The 17,835-nt window shown below is 38.6% G+C and overlaps 1 protein-coding gene across 3 annotated transcripts in view; it reads right to left on the bottom strand.

The window, feature by feature from the left end:
• The window catches only part of MAP2K5 (mitogen-activated protein kinase kinase 5), a 264,412-nt gene that overhangs the window by 68,696 nt on the left and 177,881 nt on the right, over positions 1 to 17,835 (bottom strand). For 2 of the 3 annotated variants that reach the window (NM_145160.3, NM_001206804.2), the window contains exon 17: positions 10,474 to 10,503. The exons of the other annotated variant lie outside the window; for it this stretch is intronic. In NM_145160.3, coding sequence (NP_660143.1) covers positions 10,474 to 10,503 — 30 coding nt within the window. The remainder of the gene's footprint in view (positions 1 to 10,473; positions 10,504 to 17,835) is intronic. 3 annotated transcript variants of the gene reach the window in all.

Here is a 17,835-nt window from a genome sequence, read left to right as displayed (position 1 = left end):
TTCCAGCTGCCTGGCTACCAAGAAGGCATAGGGCTATCCAAAGAGCAGGGCCTGGAAGGAGGCCTTTGGCCAGGAACTTTCTTTTGATTAAAGGATTTTACCAACTAGGCCTGGAGTCCAGGTCGCCTCATGCCTTATGCCCAGAAGAGTGCTCTCTGCAACTTGTTTCTGAACAGAAAACAAAACAAGACAAGCTTCATTACCCCTTTGGTCTCTCCTCCTCTGAACCTGTAGGCCAATAGCTTCTTCTCTCATAAGACTATTCTAGGCCAAGTGCAGTGGCTCACGCCTGTAATCCCAGTACTCTGGGAGGCTGAGGCAGGCAGGTCACCTGAGGTCGGGAGTTCGAGACCAGCCTGGCCAACATGGCGAAATCTCATCTCTATTAAAAATACAAAAATTAGCCGGGTATGGTGATGCACTCCTATAATCCCAGCTACTCGGGAGGCTGAGGCAGGAGAATCACTTGAACCTGGGAGGTGGAGGTTGCAGTGAGCCAAGATCATGCCACTCCACTCCAGCCTGGGTGACAGAGTGACACTCTGTCTCAAAAAAAAAAAAAAAAAAAAAAAAAGACTATTCTATTCCCCAAGCTGTTCTTTCCTTCTCCCCGTGGTGGTCACCATCTGCAGACATTGATGGGTGCAGCCTAACAGTCCACACTTGGTTCCAATTGGCTGCCTTGGTTTCCCAAAATTCCTTGGAGATGACACCTTGGCTCTGTGCATAAACAGACAACTGCCTCCTTTCCTAGCTCCTCGTGGTCTCTGGGACCCTCTTTCCACCTGGTGTGTCCTGGCAATCTCCAGCCCTAAATCGAATCAGCTCTTTGCTCCTTTTAGGCAACTCATTGATTTTTTCAATGAACTTAGCTCGTCTGTTTTATTGGCACTGAAGAGGGTTGGGTTCTTAGCATCATTAACATTTTAGTTGAGGAAGAATTCCCAAACCTCCCACGCATTAATCCATAACTGTTAAACATCTAAAAAGTAATCTATGCTCAAACAAAGCTCGGCCAGGTCTGTCCCCTTTTTAACTTGGAAGCCAATGAGCCCCTATCCCCAAATCTACCCAAGTTTTCCATACTGAATGGTGATAAGTAAAACACTGGAGTATAATAAAAGTTGATGTCTTTGTCTGTTGCTGCTGCTACTACTGCTGTTGAGGACCATTCTCCCCCCAGGGATCCATAGCCAGTCAGCAATTACCTGGCAGGCACAGAGCATCCTGGGACAGTAATTTTCATCTCTGCAGACACACCAGTTGGAGGCAGTACTTGAGTGGATATGTGTGTAAAATAAGGACGGCCATTTAGACTCACAGTCTCTGGATGCCTTATCTCACTTTCTCCCCCACCATCCCTCTAAAGTAAAAAGACCACTGCACTGTGAGTGGGAGACAGTCTGGCCCTGTTGCTGAATACCTGGTAATCATGAGTGAGTCATTTAATGGCTGTGGACTCCTATTTCCTCATCTGTAATCTAAGAGTTGGACTAGATCATTGTAAGATCTCTTCACATGCTGAAATCCTATGATTCCATAAAGTAGCAGACTGCATCAATAAAAGCAAAGGGAGAGAAGTGGAAGGCCTAGTGGACCGCAGAGCTTAAGAGGGAGAGATAATAGCAAAGCTGCCACATGAAAGCCAGACTGAACACCAAGTTCATTAACTTTCAATTCTATTTCTGGGGGCTAAATTGATTATTTAAAAATTGTAAGGGAATCATGGTCCCCAGTAACTGAACTAAAAATGACGAGATTCTGTATATAATTCTATATATTATATGGTGATTGTGAATGATAAATTATAACTCAAAAAAGAAAGTCTGTAAAGGAAGGCTCTTGTGGGATCAGAAAAATAATTCATTTTAGTCCTACCTGGTGTGAGACATGGTCATATATTTTCAGAGTTACATAGGTAAATCCCTGAAGAACTTTCTGGAAATATAAATAATACTAATATTACCTAGCTCTTGTTTACCACCTTATATTTTTCAAAGTGCTCTCTTAGGCATTAGTCCATTTGATCATGACAATTCCTCCCCAGCAGTCTAGAAAATGCCGTGATATACCAAGCCAAATTCATAAAGGGTGGCAGGGAACCCCTCAGGGGCATGTGCCAACTGTCCTCAAGGGCAGAGACCTTAAAATGCAATGACTTCCAACCTCAGATCAGCCCCAGTCATGTCAAGGGGATGTACAAAATTCTCAAACCCAATTTCTTTATCTGGTCCCTGCTACACTTGCCATCTCCATCCTGACACATTACCTCCCTCCTCTACCATGCTCCCCTCCCTTTTCTTACTTCCTTCCCACGGTGACTTTAAAAGTTACCTAGGAGAATTGCTAAGCTGTTAGGGAAATGAAAGTAACAATGGTAGTACTGTTAAAGTACCGGAACAACACCAAATATAATATGCTGTTTTAGACCTTTATCTTTTACCAGATGAACCTCCTTTGGACTTGAGTACCTAGCACATCCTTTCCCATGCTTCTTGCAAAGGGAGAGAAGTAGAAGGCCTCCTGGACCACAGAGCCTAGGAGGGAGAGATAATAGCAAAGCTGCCACGTGAAAGCCAGACTGGACACCAAGTTTATTATTATGACTTGGTGTCCAAGTTCATTACTTTAACCTTCTATTCTATTTCTGGGCTAAACTGATTATTTAAAAATTACAAAGGAATCATGGTCCCATCCTTCTTGCCTCAGAGCCTCGGCTCAAGCGTCAGCTATCTACTCTGTGAAACCCTCTTGGTTTCCTGAAGTGAGCTGACCACTCCCTTTTCCTCTTGAGGTCAGAGCATCCCATCTCCTGGAGGATTCCTTTTATATCAACTGCCATTGGTTTTATGTTTTTCTTCCAACTGGACTGCACTCTTTTGAGAGCAGAGACCACATCTGTTTCATTTTTGTGCTCCTAGTGCTTAGTCAGGCACAGAGTAGGTGCTCAGTGACAAATAATGTTGAATTGAGATGTATGTCATACAATAGTGTAGAAGGTACTACAGAATCAAACCAACATGAGGTTAGTGCTTTCAAACAACACAGGAATCACGAACCTAACTGGCCAAATACAGATATCTCAATTGAAGTATTAACAAATAATTTATCTTTAATGAAGAATTTCACATTTCTAAGCTACCCACACATTGGGGATGATGTCTCTTCCATTTCTGCTCTATTTTAAGGACATACTAGGAACCCACCTCCTGTTTCTGGCATAGGCTAAGCAAATAAAATAATGAGACTTCTTGATAAGTACACAATAGATATGGAGAAGAATTTGACACTGGCAATTTAAAAATTCCTAGGAAGAAGCAAATGTGTATAAGTGAACATCTTCATGTCACTTAAATTTCGTCTCTGCATTTTATGGAATATAAATCTGATTTTATGCTTGAAATATCAGGATATTTTAAATGTCTATATCCTAAATAGTGAGGACAAAAGTAAAATGAATTAAAACATATAGGCTAGACATCTGTTTAGAAAAAAAATTGCATGCATAGTGCCCCTTTAAACTCTTGCAAATTAAAGGTGAGTACTTGAAGTTTGGGGTGATTACTCATTGCTATTTTTTCCTTGATTAAAGACCTCACATACAAAAAACTGTATATTTAAAAATTTACTTAAATCCTTCATGTTCCAAACTTCAAAAAGTTTATGCAACAAAGGATAGATTCTAATACCTCTTTTCAAAGAGTGCAAACTTTTTAGGTATTTTGCAATTCCAGGAGTGATCAGTAAACATAAATAAGATAATGATATCTGTGGTCTAAATTTAACATAGAATATAAGACATCAGTAAACAATCAACATTAGAATTAGTAACAATATACTAGTCAAAGGCTTTTAAAACACAAATAAAATTAAGTGTAAAAACTCTAGTACTTCAACATTAGCATTTGAAAAGTGCTCAATGTTTTTAAATAGTTTTAAGAACATATGCTTTCTACTCTATTCTGAAACACATACTCTATCCAGAGCACAATTTATTACTACAAAATAAATGAATGTTTAAAAGACAGTCTGTCAATTGAAAAAAACAAAACACATTAAAATAGCACGTTTCCAAGCCAAGTTAAACAAAATATTTTCTCCTTGACAAGCTGCTTACATTTAAATGAAAACAGGGCAAATCTGGTCAATAATATGGATTGCATATAATAAAAAGGACCTTAGATCATGTTAATACAAGGATCAGAAAGCAGTAATTTCAATTAAAACTACCCAATTATTTAGCAAACTTTCAGATGCAGCAAATAAATTAATCGGTTTTAAATGAAAGTGCTCAGATAAGTAGCTTTTTGACCTATGAGTAAGTCTCACTAGCAGCAGTCACAGCACAGCAAGAATCTGCTGAAGCAAGGCAAAGCTCCCAAATCAAACAAATGTTATTGGTAATCAAAAAGCATTTGCAAAACGTATTTCCTTGGTTAATAGCAGGAGGTTCTGAAGCAAATGCCACCTACAGCTCCTCTCATACTTTGATATGTAGTATATAGGGGTTGAACACACATTTCTCTTACCCAAGGATGACAGAAGTATCTTGGTTTTAACAACAGGATATTTTCATTTCTGAACTATCTATGGAAGGTGCCAGTCGTTATATCATTAAGAATGCATATTTTTCACTTATTATCTACCTATGTTTAACTTGTATTGGGATTTAAGAATGCCTCTTTGAGACAAGCAATATGTCATCATTTTGTTCAGCTAACAGGCCTGACAGCCCTGTCTCCTTGAGTTAAGTAAAGTAGATCTCTATTTTGTACACTGGTGGCAAAAGCTGGCAGAATAAATGAGAATTAGCCAATTGGTAGTAAAAGTTTCTGATCCCAAAGATTCAGACCTTCCTTTTACCCTAGTCCAAATTATTCTATTTGGCCAGATGATGGTATTTTTTTTTCCCAATAAAAGTGATCTTCTCCATATACTGCAATAATTTATTTGAATGCCATTCTTATGTGTTTTTAACAAATAACATCACTATTCACTATTTCTCTTATCTTTTTGATCCTTTTTTACTACTTATCATCTTATTTGAAACAGATTTTTAACAGATAAACTGGATCGTTACAAGAATATCTTGCTTGCATTTTATTCAAATAATTCTTAAAAACAGCTTAAAAAGCCGTTTGGAATAACATCAAGCTTGCCATCAATCAAACGAAAAAATTCCGCTGGCGGTTGTATAAACATCAGATCAAGTCTGATGTCTTCAAGGATTTCAGAGTGAACCATAAAAAACTCCATTAACTTCTGACAAAGAATGCAAATTAATCACAACATGGGGTGAAATGAAATTAAAGGCTCTTTTCTAATCAATGACAAGGCAGGATGAAATATTTGTTACTCTCTCTGCACTCAGACTGCCTAGGATGTTTGCACTTCCCTTGCAAAGCCCCAAATGTAAGGTGTGAGTACAGATTCGCCCACAGTCGCTGTTAAGCCCCCCCTCCCCACAGAGCTATCTGCTTACAAGTCGTGGAGATTCACAAAACACACTAATCATCCGAATCTCAGGTGCATCCAATTTGTTATTCACACTCTCCCATGCCAGTGAAAAGCCTGGCGCAGACAGATGCACCAGGAACCCTAAATGACAGTTTTGGCCTCCGGAAGTACGATCACTACAGCAAAATCTAGTACAGCCTCCAGGTGAAATGTCTGGAGCTCCATATGGAGCAGGGAAAATTAACAACAAGATGAAAATCACTGCAGCAGCGGGGAGTCGGAATTTTTGAAAAAAAAAATGAAATTTAAAGATGAAGAAAGAGAAGTAATAAATTAATGGGGTGTGAAAACATTCAAAGCTTTACAATACCAGGGGCACTATTTGCTCAGATTTTTTTCCTTTTTTTAACTTCAGGTCATTTTGATGTAATTTATTAACCAAGATCAGGAACTGCAGCCAAAAGAAGAACAGTATTTTTATACATGCAAAAGTACTTTAAATACATTTGTGTCTGTATTATCTTCACTTTCCTGTGGCATCTTGCTTGCCAAATTTCCCAATGCCAGAGCTGATGCATCCCCTGAGAAGTCTCCTTAATGGATTTGCTATCATCCTAATGCAGGGCACTGTTGTAAAGTTTGAATGAAGGATGACAATTTTTAGCAGGCAATCCTTTTCATTTCTCCTAAATTATGGTGTCATTAAACAAACCATTGCCCACCATTATGTTTTTTAAGTCAACTGAATTTGGATCTACATGATTAACTATAGGCAGCTCCAGTCCTTGTCTAGACCTTCACATCTTTCCAGATTACTATTAAAGCTAAATTGTTCCAGAAATTGAGAAACTGTTCGCAAGATATTTAAAAATGCAATTTTTCATTATCCTATTGCAGAATATGCTTCACAAGCACCCAGAATTTAATGGCACTGGGGTCAGTGAGGGCTCTGGGTCCCTCTGGATCTCCCGTTACTCTGCTAAATACATGGTAAGAAAAGCAAGTGGGATCTGGGGAATGGTCTTGTCACCATCCACAATGGCACAACCCTCCAATGCTCAGCATTTCTCATCTATACAAGAGGCCTCCCTAGGGCAGAGAGGGCAAACTAGAAGAAGGGTTGTGGGGCAGAGTGGAAAGGAGAACAGGGGTATGAATAGCCAAACGAATTAAGAAGTTAAAGAGCCAGGGAGTTGGCTTATTTGTCTGCAAGTCCTAGACCTAACTGTACCCATTCCTGCCTAAAGCAAGGTACTTTGCCTCTCTGAGCCTGAGTTGGCTCACCTAGAGGCTGGAAATAAGTCCCTGCAGGTAGAATGCACAGCCTGAGTCAGGTAACAGCCTGAGACTGGAACCCTATGTGGGAAAGGTGCCAGGTGAAGCCAAGACACTATTGTTTTTCCTGTTATAGGCAGTAGTAATAAGACTGTGCTCCTCATGTTTTTTTTCTTTAGAACCCTAAACTGCATGCCAAGGAAGTTATGCAACCCAAAGGCCTAAAGGAAACTAAAACAGTGCTTTCAAATAACAAAGACCCAACCCACAAAACAATGAAACTCATACAGAATGGCTATCTCAACAAAAACCCAGCCCTTTAACCTTTATGTTGCTCCCAGGGCACTGACTGTCCCTAGTATCTTCCCAACACTCCTCCCTCTCTGCGACCTCACTGGGTACACACTGTGTCACCAGCAGGAAGAGGGGCTGCTAATGATGCTGTCAGCAGCACTGACACTGAGCTGGGGGAAAGACAAGTCTTGAAGCCGGCCCCTCCTCCCCACTTTACCCTCTGCTCATTTTATACTCTGCTCCAATTGTGGCTGGCATGTTGCTAAGAACATCCTTTTACAACCTATGATTGATAGCTGGGAAATTCTGTTTTGTGCTGCAGCCCAACATCTGATCCAGATGGGTGGCCCTTTGTACTTTTCAGAGTGGTTTCATATCCATAGTCTCATTTGATCAGCATACCTCCTTTAATCAGATAGAAGAGGTAGGCATTAGAATCCTCATTTTAGAGATGAGGAAACTGACACCTCAGAGTTACAAAGCAACAATTAAGACCTGCAGTGAGACTGTGGTAGCACCTAATTCTAATTCTAATACTCTGGCTCATGGTCCAGGGCTCCTTCCAATAGGCCACTCCTCTCAATTTGCCACTAGTGAAGACAACTCAGGTCTGGTGCCCTGATTAGACTTTAGGTTCACAGCAGCAATTCCCTGGCACTGTCCCTAGTCCTAGGAACAATCAAACCAATGTGATCTTAAGGATATATGAAAGGCTCTCATGTGTTCTAGGATCAGACTAGTGAGTGACACTTAGGATGAGATAGTTCTCAGCTTGATAAATAGAACACTGCTTTGACCCTGTGGATGCTTTGTAAGATAGTGAGTTTCTTGTCACTGGAAGTGTTCAAGCAGTGTGGATGTTTGCTTTTCAGAGACATTGTAGAGAAGTTTGATTTGATGATGTCTAAGATCCCTTCCAACTCTAAGAGTCTATGATTCACTCCTGCCTACTGCACTTGGGATTCAAAGAAACCAAACCAGTCACAGTTTTAACAGTGAGCAAATCAGCCATTCTGTTTGTCCAATTTATGAGGGGAGGCTATTTCACAGAGTGGTAGGAGTTCAAATGACATAACGTGGGCCAAAGAGAAGGTGTTATTCCATAACTCAGCCTCAGTGACACTATAAAAATACACATTTTTCTTCATGTGCTTTTTTTGAGGGCATAAGGGAGGGGTAGGAAAGGCATTTATAAAGTATCCTTTCCCAATCTTCAGCTTATAGTACAAAGCCTGTAAAATAAATGCCAACTCCACCAAAAGTCATTAGTGGTTCTAGCAACGACGCACCCCAACTTCTGTTGAAAAACTTAGGAAATAGGCCTAACGGCATCAAAGCTGCTTCTATTATTTCAGATAGAAGTAACAATTTGGTGACAACATTCTATCATGATTCAAGGAATACAGTTGTTTCCCGCCCCAACTCTGGTATAAAGGTTGTTGCTAACTAGGGAGTTCAGCATAGTATTAGAATTTTCCAACTTCCACTTGACTGATCAAGTAAAGATATATTTAGACATTCAGGAAAACCATACTGCAAAGGTAAATAGCCTCTTCTCAAATTTGACCACAGCTTTCATGTGCTTCACTTGTCAAATGTGGCAGTAATCCATTTCTTTTTTTTGTTTTTGAGACGGAATCTTGCTCTGTTGCCCAGGCTGGAGTGCAGTGGCGTGATCTCGGCTCACTGCAAGCTCCACCTCCCGGGTTCAAGCCATTCTCCTGCCTCAGCAGGGACTACAGGTGCCCGCCACCACGCCCGGCTAATTTTTTTTTTTTGTATTTTTAGTAGAGACGGGGTTTCACCATGTTAGCCAGGATGGTCTCAATCTCCTGACCTCGTGATCCGCCCACCTCGGCCTCCCAAAGTGCTGGGATTACAGGCGTAAGCCACTGCACCTGGCCATGGCAAAATCCATTTCTTAGACTCATCACCCATCAAATCTCACTGATTAACTACTCTAGACATTAGGAATCTCAAGAATATTGCTACATTCTCAACCTTTGGAATTTTTACTGGATGGCTTATAAGTTTTCTACTAAGATTTGTTTGAGAAATATACTGCATAGGGCTTGTGAGTTCACTTTCAAAATTTTAGGGGATTTCACAAATTGGCCAAGCTGAATTGTTTAGAAATTACTGACAGAATAAGAAGCTTACCAAGATAAATATTCTAATGAGCTATAAATCCTGAAAATGTAATTTTAATTTGATGGGTTACCTAGAGCTAAGCAGCAAGGCTATATACACTAAAATCTCACTAAATGCCAGCATTCATGCCAAGCAACTGCATTTTAGATTTTCTCTATAAGGAAAAGATTACATTTAAACAAAAAAGTCTATGAATTTGAAAAGTGAGACTAACACTCTTGAACCTAACAACTTGGACGATTTCTCTTCCACTTATCTGATGGCTTTAACTATGAAAGCAAAAGAATACGAAAGAGACATTTCATTGAGTAAAGGGTCTTTAAATGTCCACATTGGTACCAGGAGAATTTGCTTAAAACTGCTTATAAAGATGGTAGAGAGAATGAGCCCCATCCTATTATTCAATAACCATGTTTGTGATGCATCTGCATAATCTAACCATGCATAAATTAGTATGTGTAATACAACACTTATTTGCATAATAATAGCAAGTTAATAGATGCTTAAAGAGCAGAGACCAACACCACCTTTAAATCAGACATGCCTCTAGGCACTTTGGCCTGTACAGACCAAGATGCCAGAAAAACAGTGAACATCAACCAGAGGAAAACAGTCAAACCATTCATTTTTCATCCCTCTAGACATTTCACTTATTTCCCCCACAAACTGGGGAATCATTTTCAAACCACAAAATAGCTTTCTATTTTAGTGCTGGTACCCTTCTATAATAAAAATCTTAAAGAAATTTTAATAAAGATTAGAGTCAGCAATGCTACTATAATGGACTGTTTTGTTTCCTTACAAATGTAGACAGGAGGGAGCAAAATATTTTTAAATAATATGTTCAAAATTACACTCATAAAATTGGGGGCCTATATATTTGCCTAGCAAAAATAATGACCTAGATTAGATGCTTTCACCCTTTGTCTTAATCTTTTAACTCAAAAAATTTTAAGTGAATTTAAGAGCTTAAAAAGTGTATCAAGAAAAAGCTGGCTCTCTCCTCCAACCTCAAAATGAGTACATGGTATTGGACCAGGAAAAAAAACAATCCCGAATGTCACACAAAGGAAAAGCACAATGATCACTCTCAACCTTTAACAAGAAGAAAAAATCAGGAGTTTAAAAAAATCAAAAATCAATAGAGATTTCTAAATGAACCCTTTAAGATACCACTTTTCAATTTAACAGGACAGATTTATTTGTATGTGGCTCAAATGTTCACAATTGCTCCCTGCACCTTCATACATAGGAATGAATGTCACAGTGGCAAACAGCAGTAATGAACAATCTTACCTGAGGATATGGAAACCTCCCAAGAGCAAGCTGGGAAAGGAAATAATATTTGTCTAGTTATAGATTTGCATGCAGGGCAGATCTCCTTAAGACAGACAAGTACTAAATTTCAGAACTGCATCCAGCAAATATAAAAAAGTTCACAACCTTGAATGTACAAACTAAATTATTGCTGTAATTACATTAAGAGCTGTATTTAGAATGGACATTTTCAATGGACGATGTTGCACCCCTGATAAAATATTTTAATTTTAATAACAAAACATTATCCTTATGTGGTTTCCCTTAGTAATATTCTCAGCTATATGGGCATTATTCACATTTACGTGTGTGTGACAGTTTCTTCTAGACAGAGATGTAAAAACTCTTTGCTTTTAGTCTTGTAAAATGGGAACATCTAATTGTTACTAACCCACAAAATTTTCAGTTACAAGTATAAATGGAGGGTAGTAGGAAGTGGGGAATGGACATTATTATGAAATTGAAAACTGCGCCATTATTTTCATCCATTTGTTAAAGTTTTTTCATCCATTTTCTACCCACTAGTGGGAAAAATGGCCATTTCAAGGTTGTGAAGTCAGAACTGTAGGTCTAAGTCTGAAAGCTTCCAATCTAACTTGATTTGTAAACTGCTCTGTTTCTGAGCCAGTCACTTAATTTTGATCCTTGAATCCTCACCTGTAAAAACAAAATGATCCAACCAGGAATAGGCTTGATATAAAGCAAAAAGATATAAACTGTTTTTTGAGCCAGAGTCTTGCTCTGTCACCCAGACTGGAGTGCAGTGGCGTGATCTCGGCTCACTGCAACCTCTGCCTCCTGGGTTCAAGTGATTCTCTTGTCTCAGCCTCCCAAGGTAGCTGGGATTACAGGCGCACACCATCATGCCCAGCTAATTTTTGTATTTTTAGTAGAGATGGGGTTTCACCATGTTGGCCAGGCTGGTCTTGAGCTCCTGACCTCAAGTGATCTGCCTGGCTTGGCCTCCCAAAGTGCTGGGATTACAGGGCTAAGCCATTGAACCTGGCCAAAAAGATAAAATTTAACAAACATACAAAAACCTATTTAAAGAAAATAGTGGCAAAACTTTGCAATTTTATAATGTGGCCAATCCTCAGTCCTGACATCATTTACATGTATTTGTAATTACTTTCAAAGCAGAATCGCAACATCAGGGACTTTAACGCTAATGGATCTAAGAGAGCATCAACCCACTTCAAAGATTAAAACCCAGAGTCCCACTGAAGTAGCTCCCAAACAGTTAATAAGTGGAAGCCTAGGAACTGACCCTAAGATTTGCAACTTAATCCAGTGTTCCTTCCTGCATATGAAACTGCCTTTCTAGATCTTGAGAAGTTCTGCGCTTATTTCAAAGACACTGACACTGCTCAAACATTTCTGAATTCTCCTTTTGTAATTGTTTTAGAATTATTTCAATTAACAGAATACCTATTTCATTTTATTAGTATGCACCTTATCTTGGATTTAAAATTATACCCCTCAGCTTGTTCATCATGTAAATTATTTGTAGACTAAGGTTTGAATAGCCTATGGATATTACCAAAACCCAAAGCCACATACAAAAACTAAATATTTTGTTGCTTAGACATGAATATGCTGAAGTTATCAAAGTTCTAAAACCAATATGAACAATAGCCATGTAACAGGAATAAACATTATGACCTCGTAAAGTGACTACTTTGAAAAGGCCCACACTCATTTGCACATATGCTTGTGTGTATGTGTATATATGTATGTCTTAGAATACCTAGTTTCATTACCTTGTACTCATATCTTGTACACAAAATATACACTGATATGTGTATGGATTTTCAAGATATAGGTATACTATCATCATTTCATTTGATGGATATCATTAATCTCTTCCACTGTACATAACAAAAACATCACAAGATGGGGTGAAAGAAAGAGAGTGTAGATGTTTGCCAAACTCCCTTTCGAAGTTTTGTGTGATTATGTTTGTTGTCTATGTACGGGGAGGGAAAAGGGAGAGACTCAGTTCTCCCATCCTCTGTCCCCACCCCACCTCCTTTCAATACAGGTTCGTAGGTTTGCCCTACATTTTGAAAATAGTTTGTTTCTGGCCAATCAGAGTGTGCACACTGATTCAGGAGGAATTACTATGGTCTACTGTGGTGGGTGAACTAGGCATTTGCAACAGTCTGCAGTGTCTTAACAGGTATCACAGTGATCTGTGGATTATGACTTTTGCATATACTTCCATTTGGAGTTAGAAAACCAGCAAGAGGAGAGTCTCACACCTAAAAAAGCTAATAGCTTAATAACTACTACAAAGCACTTAGAACATTCTAGCTCAAGACCTTCCACAGGCATTGCGCCATTCACTTGGGTATATGCTCAGCATGTCATCAGGGACCATGGAATAATTCTGTTCACATGGCTTAAAGACAGAGGAAACTTGCCCACCACACATATAGTCAAGATCTAAACTAGCTGGCAGGTGCCAACACTGACCATTGGTTCTTGCAATTTAAAGAATTAAGCAATGGTAAATGGACGGCTTAAAACGGAGTGAGATACAGCAAAAAATGTGAATTCTTCCCGATTCAACACAAAGCTTCCGGTTGCAAGTGGTCATGGTTCTACAGAGAGGCCAGGCTCCAGCCAACTTGGGAATGTGCATTCATCTACTTGGCCCTCTCTGTCATGACTGTACAAGGTAAAAAAGGATGGCTGATGTTATTTGTTTGCTCTGTAAGACAATGCCATGCAAGACAACAGAGAGAAAATTTAGTGCAGTTTGGTCAGCTGGGAGCCTCTCTGTACCAGTCTGCTTGGGAACAGGTGCCAGTGCTTGAACTGGTGAACTCATCATTCATGGGTCTGGCTTTGCTTTCAGTGTTATTTCCTGACATCTTGTGGAACCTCAGTCCTACCTTTTAACTATGTTCCTGGGAGGACTGCTTGTAAGACATCTTGCAGGTCTGACCTCTTTAGAGTTAGAAGACAGAGAATGGTTCTTTGATCTTAACTAGTAGGTACCGCTGCAATTGCAGCATGATGACAATCACTTCCTCTCTTACAGAGTGTCACCACTGGGCTGTTGAAAGACTTGGGAATCTATGCCAGTGAAAACTGGCAAGTGCACTATTAGGCTGGCACTGAAAGCAGTCATTTTAAGGCCCCAGGAGAGGACCGCTGCCTTCTATGTATGCCTCTATCCCTCTAGGTCTAATGCAGCTACAGTGTTTATGTTCCACACTATTTGTCTTATAGAAAAGTAGAAGGAAACATATAGCCAGGCTCTAGAACTCTTTTTATCAAGTTCTATTGGGAGGAGGTAAAAAAGAAAATGGTTTCTTAGTAGATATGGCTGCATGAAGAACGAGTTCTCTACAAAAATGAGAGGCGTGTGGTGGCACGTGTCTGTAGTCACAGCTGCTTGGGAGGCTAGTGTGGGAGGATCACCTGAGCCCGGGGAGGTAGAGACTGCAGTGAGCCTTGACCATGCCATTGCATTCCAGACTGAGCAAGAGTGAGACCCTAACTCAAAAAATAAATAAATAAATAAATAAAAAAGAACGAGTTCTCCACGAGGCTGTCAAAAGTCAAAATAAACATGGGACCCTTATGGGGAAGAAGGAGCACATATGCTCCAAGTGAATATTTCACACACAGGCAGACCTGGGGCCATTCTGTATCTTTTACCCCTACTGGTCTATTAATCTACTTGCATTTCCCTAGTTTTTATTGTCAAGGTATTATAAATTAGGAAACTTACAAAAGAGAGTATGTAATCTTCTCTGAAATGGCCTGCAGATATGTCACTGTACTAAATGTGTTTCAGATTTAATGAAGCTTTAATGTCCTTTTTAATTTTGCCTGTTTCTGTATCACTAGGGGTCGGGCAAGGCAATCAGCACTCAAGAGGGTGGTTTGGTTTAAAACTAGGAAAAAACTCATTTGCTTATGAGTTGCACTGTATTTTCTTAATTAAATTTACTGAGTAAAATGGTTTAAGTTCAGCCAACCAATGACCTTTGTATGTAGATTTAGATTTATAAATAGGTTAACAGTTAAAGGAAAGAAAAAAAAAGAATCACAACAAAGCAAATAGATTAGGCCTATGCCAATAGAAATCTTTGCTCTCTTTATCATCTTTACAAAAGAAGCATGTAATATAGGCAGCTTAAGTCTAGTTTTTTTTTTTAAAAAGTGTACTGAAAAATGTAGACACATATAAGTGCCAGCAATTCATCAAATGGGTCTCATATCCTTTTCATTCCCAGGAGGGGAGCAGCTCACATCGTAAAAGATTTGGAAAAGCTTTATTTATTTGGGGCCAGGGGGTGGAGGTAGAGATAAGGGATTCTATTTAATGTTAAATTAAAAAGTACACTTTAATTCCAAATACTTAAGATTTAGCAAACTGCTGAAGACTCTCTTGCGGGACGTTTATTATGTAAAAGGCTGAAAAAGAATGGTCTGAAGTGTTACCAGTTGGGGATACACTTAAATAGCAGTAAACAACTAACATCTCACTCTAAAAACAGGACGTTCCTTAGTGTCATCTTATTGACCTTTGACTTGGCCAACCACAATCTATAAAATGCTCTTCAGTTAGCAGCATTTGAATATGTTGGATTTTATAATTTAAATAACAAATATATTTGTATGTGTGCCTGTGCGTGAAAGAGAGATCATAACAATTGCCAAATATATAACACGATAAAAATCTTTGTATTTTAACAAAAAGAAGTTATTTATTGACAAAGCAACAGAATGGCTTTTGTTGATAATAAAAATAATTATTGTCATAGAATCATAAATGATAAAGAGAAAACAAACATTGTAGCCAGAAAACAAGTGCAGGACACAAATTCAAGACATGTTTTTAGTAATCAAGTCTCCTACTCAGAATATCAACTATGTTGTGGGAGTAGTTTTAAATTTACAGTTCTACTGAAGAGCACTGGATTTTTTTATTCTTAATTTAGACATATTCTATGTTTCTCGGCATAACTACAAATTGAAAATAAGCATTTTCAATATAGCCAGTGATCTAGCTGAATGACAACTTTATAGTCTGAAATGTTCTAAAATTTGTTCTTAATTACCTTGTGTACATTTTACACAATTAAATTTCCATCTAAGGATTTTGCATTTAGATTGTGCGCTGCAGTTAAATCTTCATTTTATAGAAATGCAGCAGCCACTTTGGAACACTCAGACACAGGGAAACTTTAAAAAATCAGACTTAACTACTGGATTACATAAAATTCCCTAGGTGAGATTTCATCCCAAGACCAATTTACACAGTCCTAGAGAAAGAGTTTAAATCATCTGAAACTATGCTGGTGAAGAACCATAATAAATATTAAATACCTCAAAATCTACTCTAAGATTTTACTTTTTTCCCCATGTATCAATTTCACTGTTCTCTTACTGAATGGTTTAAAAACAATCCAAAGGATATAACAGCAATTTACCGGTGTTAAAGTGCTTTGGAGGTTAAACTGACAACAAAGAACACAGAAACACAAAGCGTCTTGAAGTAGGGTTTCAATTAAATGTGGAGGATTTAGTAATGCAGGACCAAAAAAAAAAAAAAAGAGTTACAAATTAATTTAATCTTCTGCCTATAGTTTGCAGCTGCACTCCAAAGTGTCTGGGGCTTAAGAACAAAGCCTTGAAAGGCCTCAGAGTGAGGAAAGCTTCAATTTTTAATGTATAACGCCATTAGCTGATAACTTGTGGAATCTGCAACCCCTGTGGAGGGGCATAAGTGCGAGTAACAGAGACTGATGAAGTGACATATTTGTTCATGTCTAGAACTATGAGGAAGAGGATTATTACTAACACCATCAGGCCTAACAGAAACATGCCCTAATAACCTTTGGGACCCTCCACATTATCAGTACTCACTACAGCAAATATATTAAAATCAAAATCTAATTCACTTTAATTAAAGACAATTAGTTTGTTTTATTATTATTAACTTGTATGATATCATAATACACTGCAAATTAAAGATGGGATAATAAATGTAACGAAAGCATCAAACTGTGTACACCCTTCCATCTACATTTGTGAAATTAGCTTATCACTGGTGTCTATTTAAGGAAATTCAAAGACACCATCATTAAAAGTGATGAAGAAATACTTTACTCTCAAGAGAATATAGTGAACCCACACGTATTTTTTCCTATTTCAATTTATGCTTATTTTCACAAACTCTTTCCTACAAACTCTAAGGATTTCTTCAGCGCAAACAGAATTATGGCCCAATGGAGGCACCAGCAGCTTAATTAATTTGCTCAAGGTCATACTGTAAGTTGGTGGCAAAGCTTGTTAAGAGCCTAGGAACACTGGGCTCTACAAATGTTTTGGCAATGGCAAAGGACCCTGTCTGCAAAGACCTCATAGACTTCTAGTGCAGTGGGTGAGCCACAGCAAATAACTCATTATGCCTATACGAAAAGTGCCAAGTAGTCTGAGAGCTTGTAACTAATGTTTTTTCTTTGTGTAGAAAGAGCCTAAATGTGAGGGTCCCATCAGGAGTGCGCCTTAACGGGTGCCAATATTAAAACCAAAACAAAAAACAACAACTACTTGTCCTCACCAAAGTCCACTGATATAAACTTACTTAAGGAGCCCAAACAGTAGCACAAATAAATAAATCAAGCACTTATCTACCATTCAGAAGGTTCTGCATTCTGTCCCAGATTATTAATAATAAGGGAGAAAAGACAGCATTACAGATAAATACTTCTTAACAAACCTGCACATCCTGCACATGTACCCTGGAACTTAAAAAAAACAAAAAACGAACAAATGTTTCTAACAGAGTACGTTTTTAAAAAAATAAAAAGAAATGGGCTTATTACAGTAGACACTTAAACAGGAAGAGGGCAACAGTAATTCACAAGTACAATATCCTAATGCTGTTCCTTTAATTGCTTTATTTGTTTCACTGTTAAAAATGATTGCCTGCTATAGCCTAACCATGAATGCTGAAAAGCGTGATACATTGAGGTCTCAACCTGGGCAAACTGTACCTAAACTTACACTTTATTGCAGCTTAGTTCACAATCTTCACCTAATATAGGGTTATATCCCAGTGCAGCAGGAGGATAAATCATCCTGGAATATTACTCCAGCAAAGTTTAGCTGTGACTGGAGCATATGTGCTTTCGAGCCACTGAAGCAAAGGCCCATAAAATACACTAATTACTGGAAGTTATGGTCACTGAGTGATTGATAGCGCTCTGCAAGGCAACTTCCTCATTTTCAGCTCTTCTGACGGGGCTCATCCGCCACATAGCAATTATTAATTCATGACCCACCCCTCAGGCATTAGTACCTTTACGTCTAATTCTC

This window comes from Homo sapiens, chromosome 15 (genome assembly GCF_000001405.40).
Source record: "Homo sapiens chromosome 15, GRCh38.p14 Primary Assembly".
NCBI lineage: Eukaryota > Metazoa > Chordata > Mammalia > Primates > Hominidae > Homo > Homo sapiens.
Note: the sequence above shows the minus strand (reverse complement) of the source record. Positions and strands in the feature narration are given on the sequence as shown.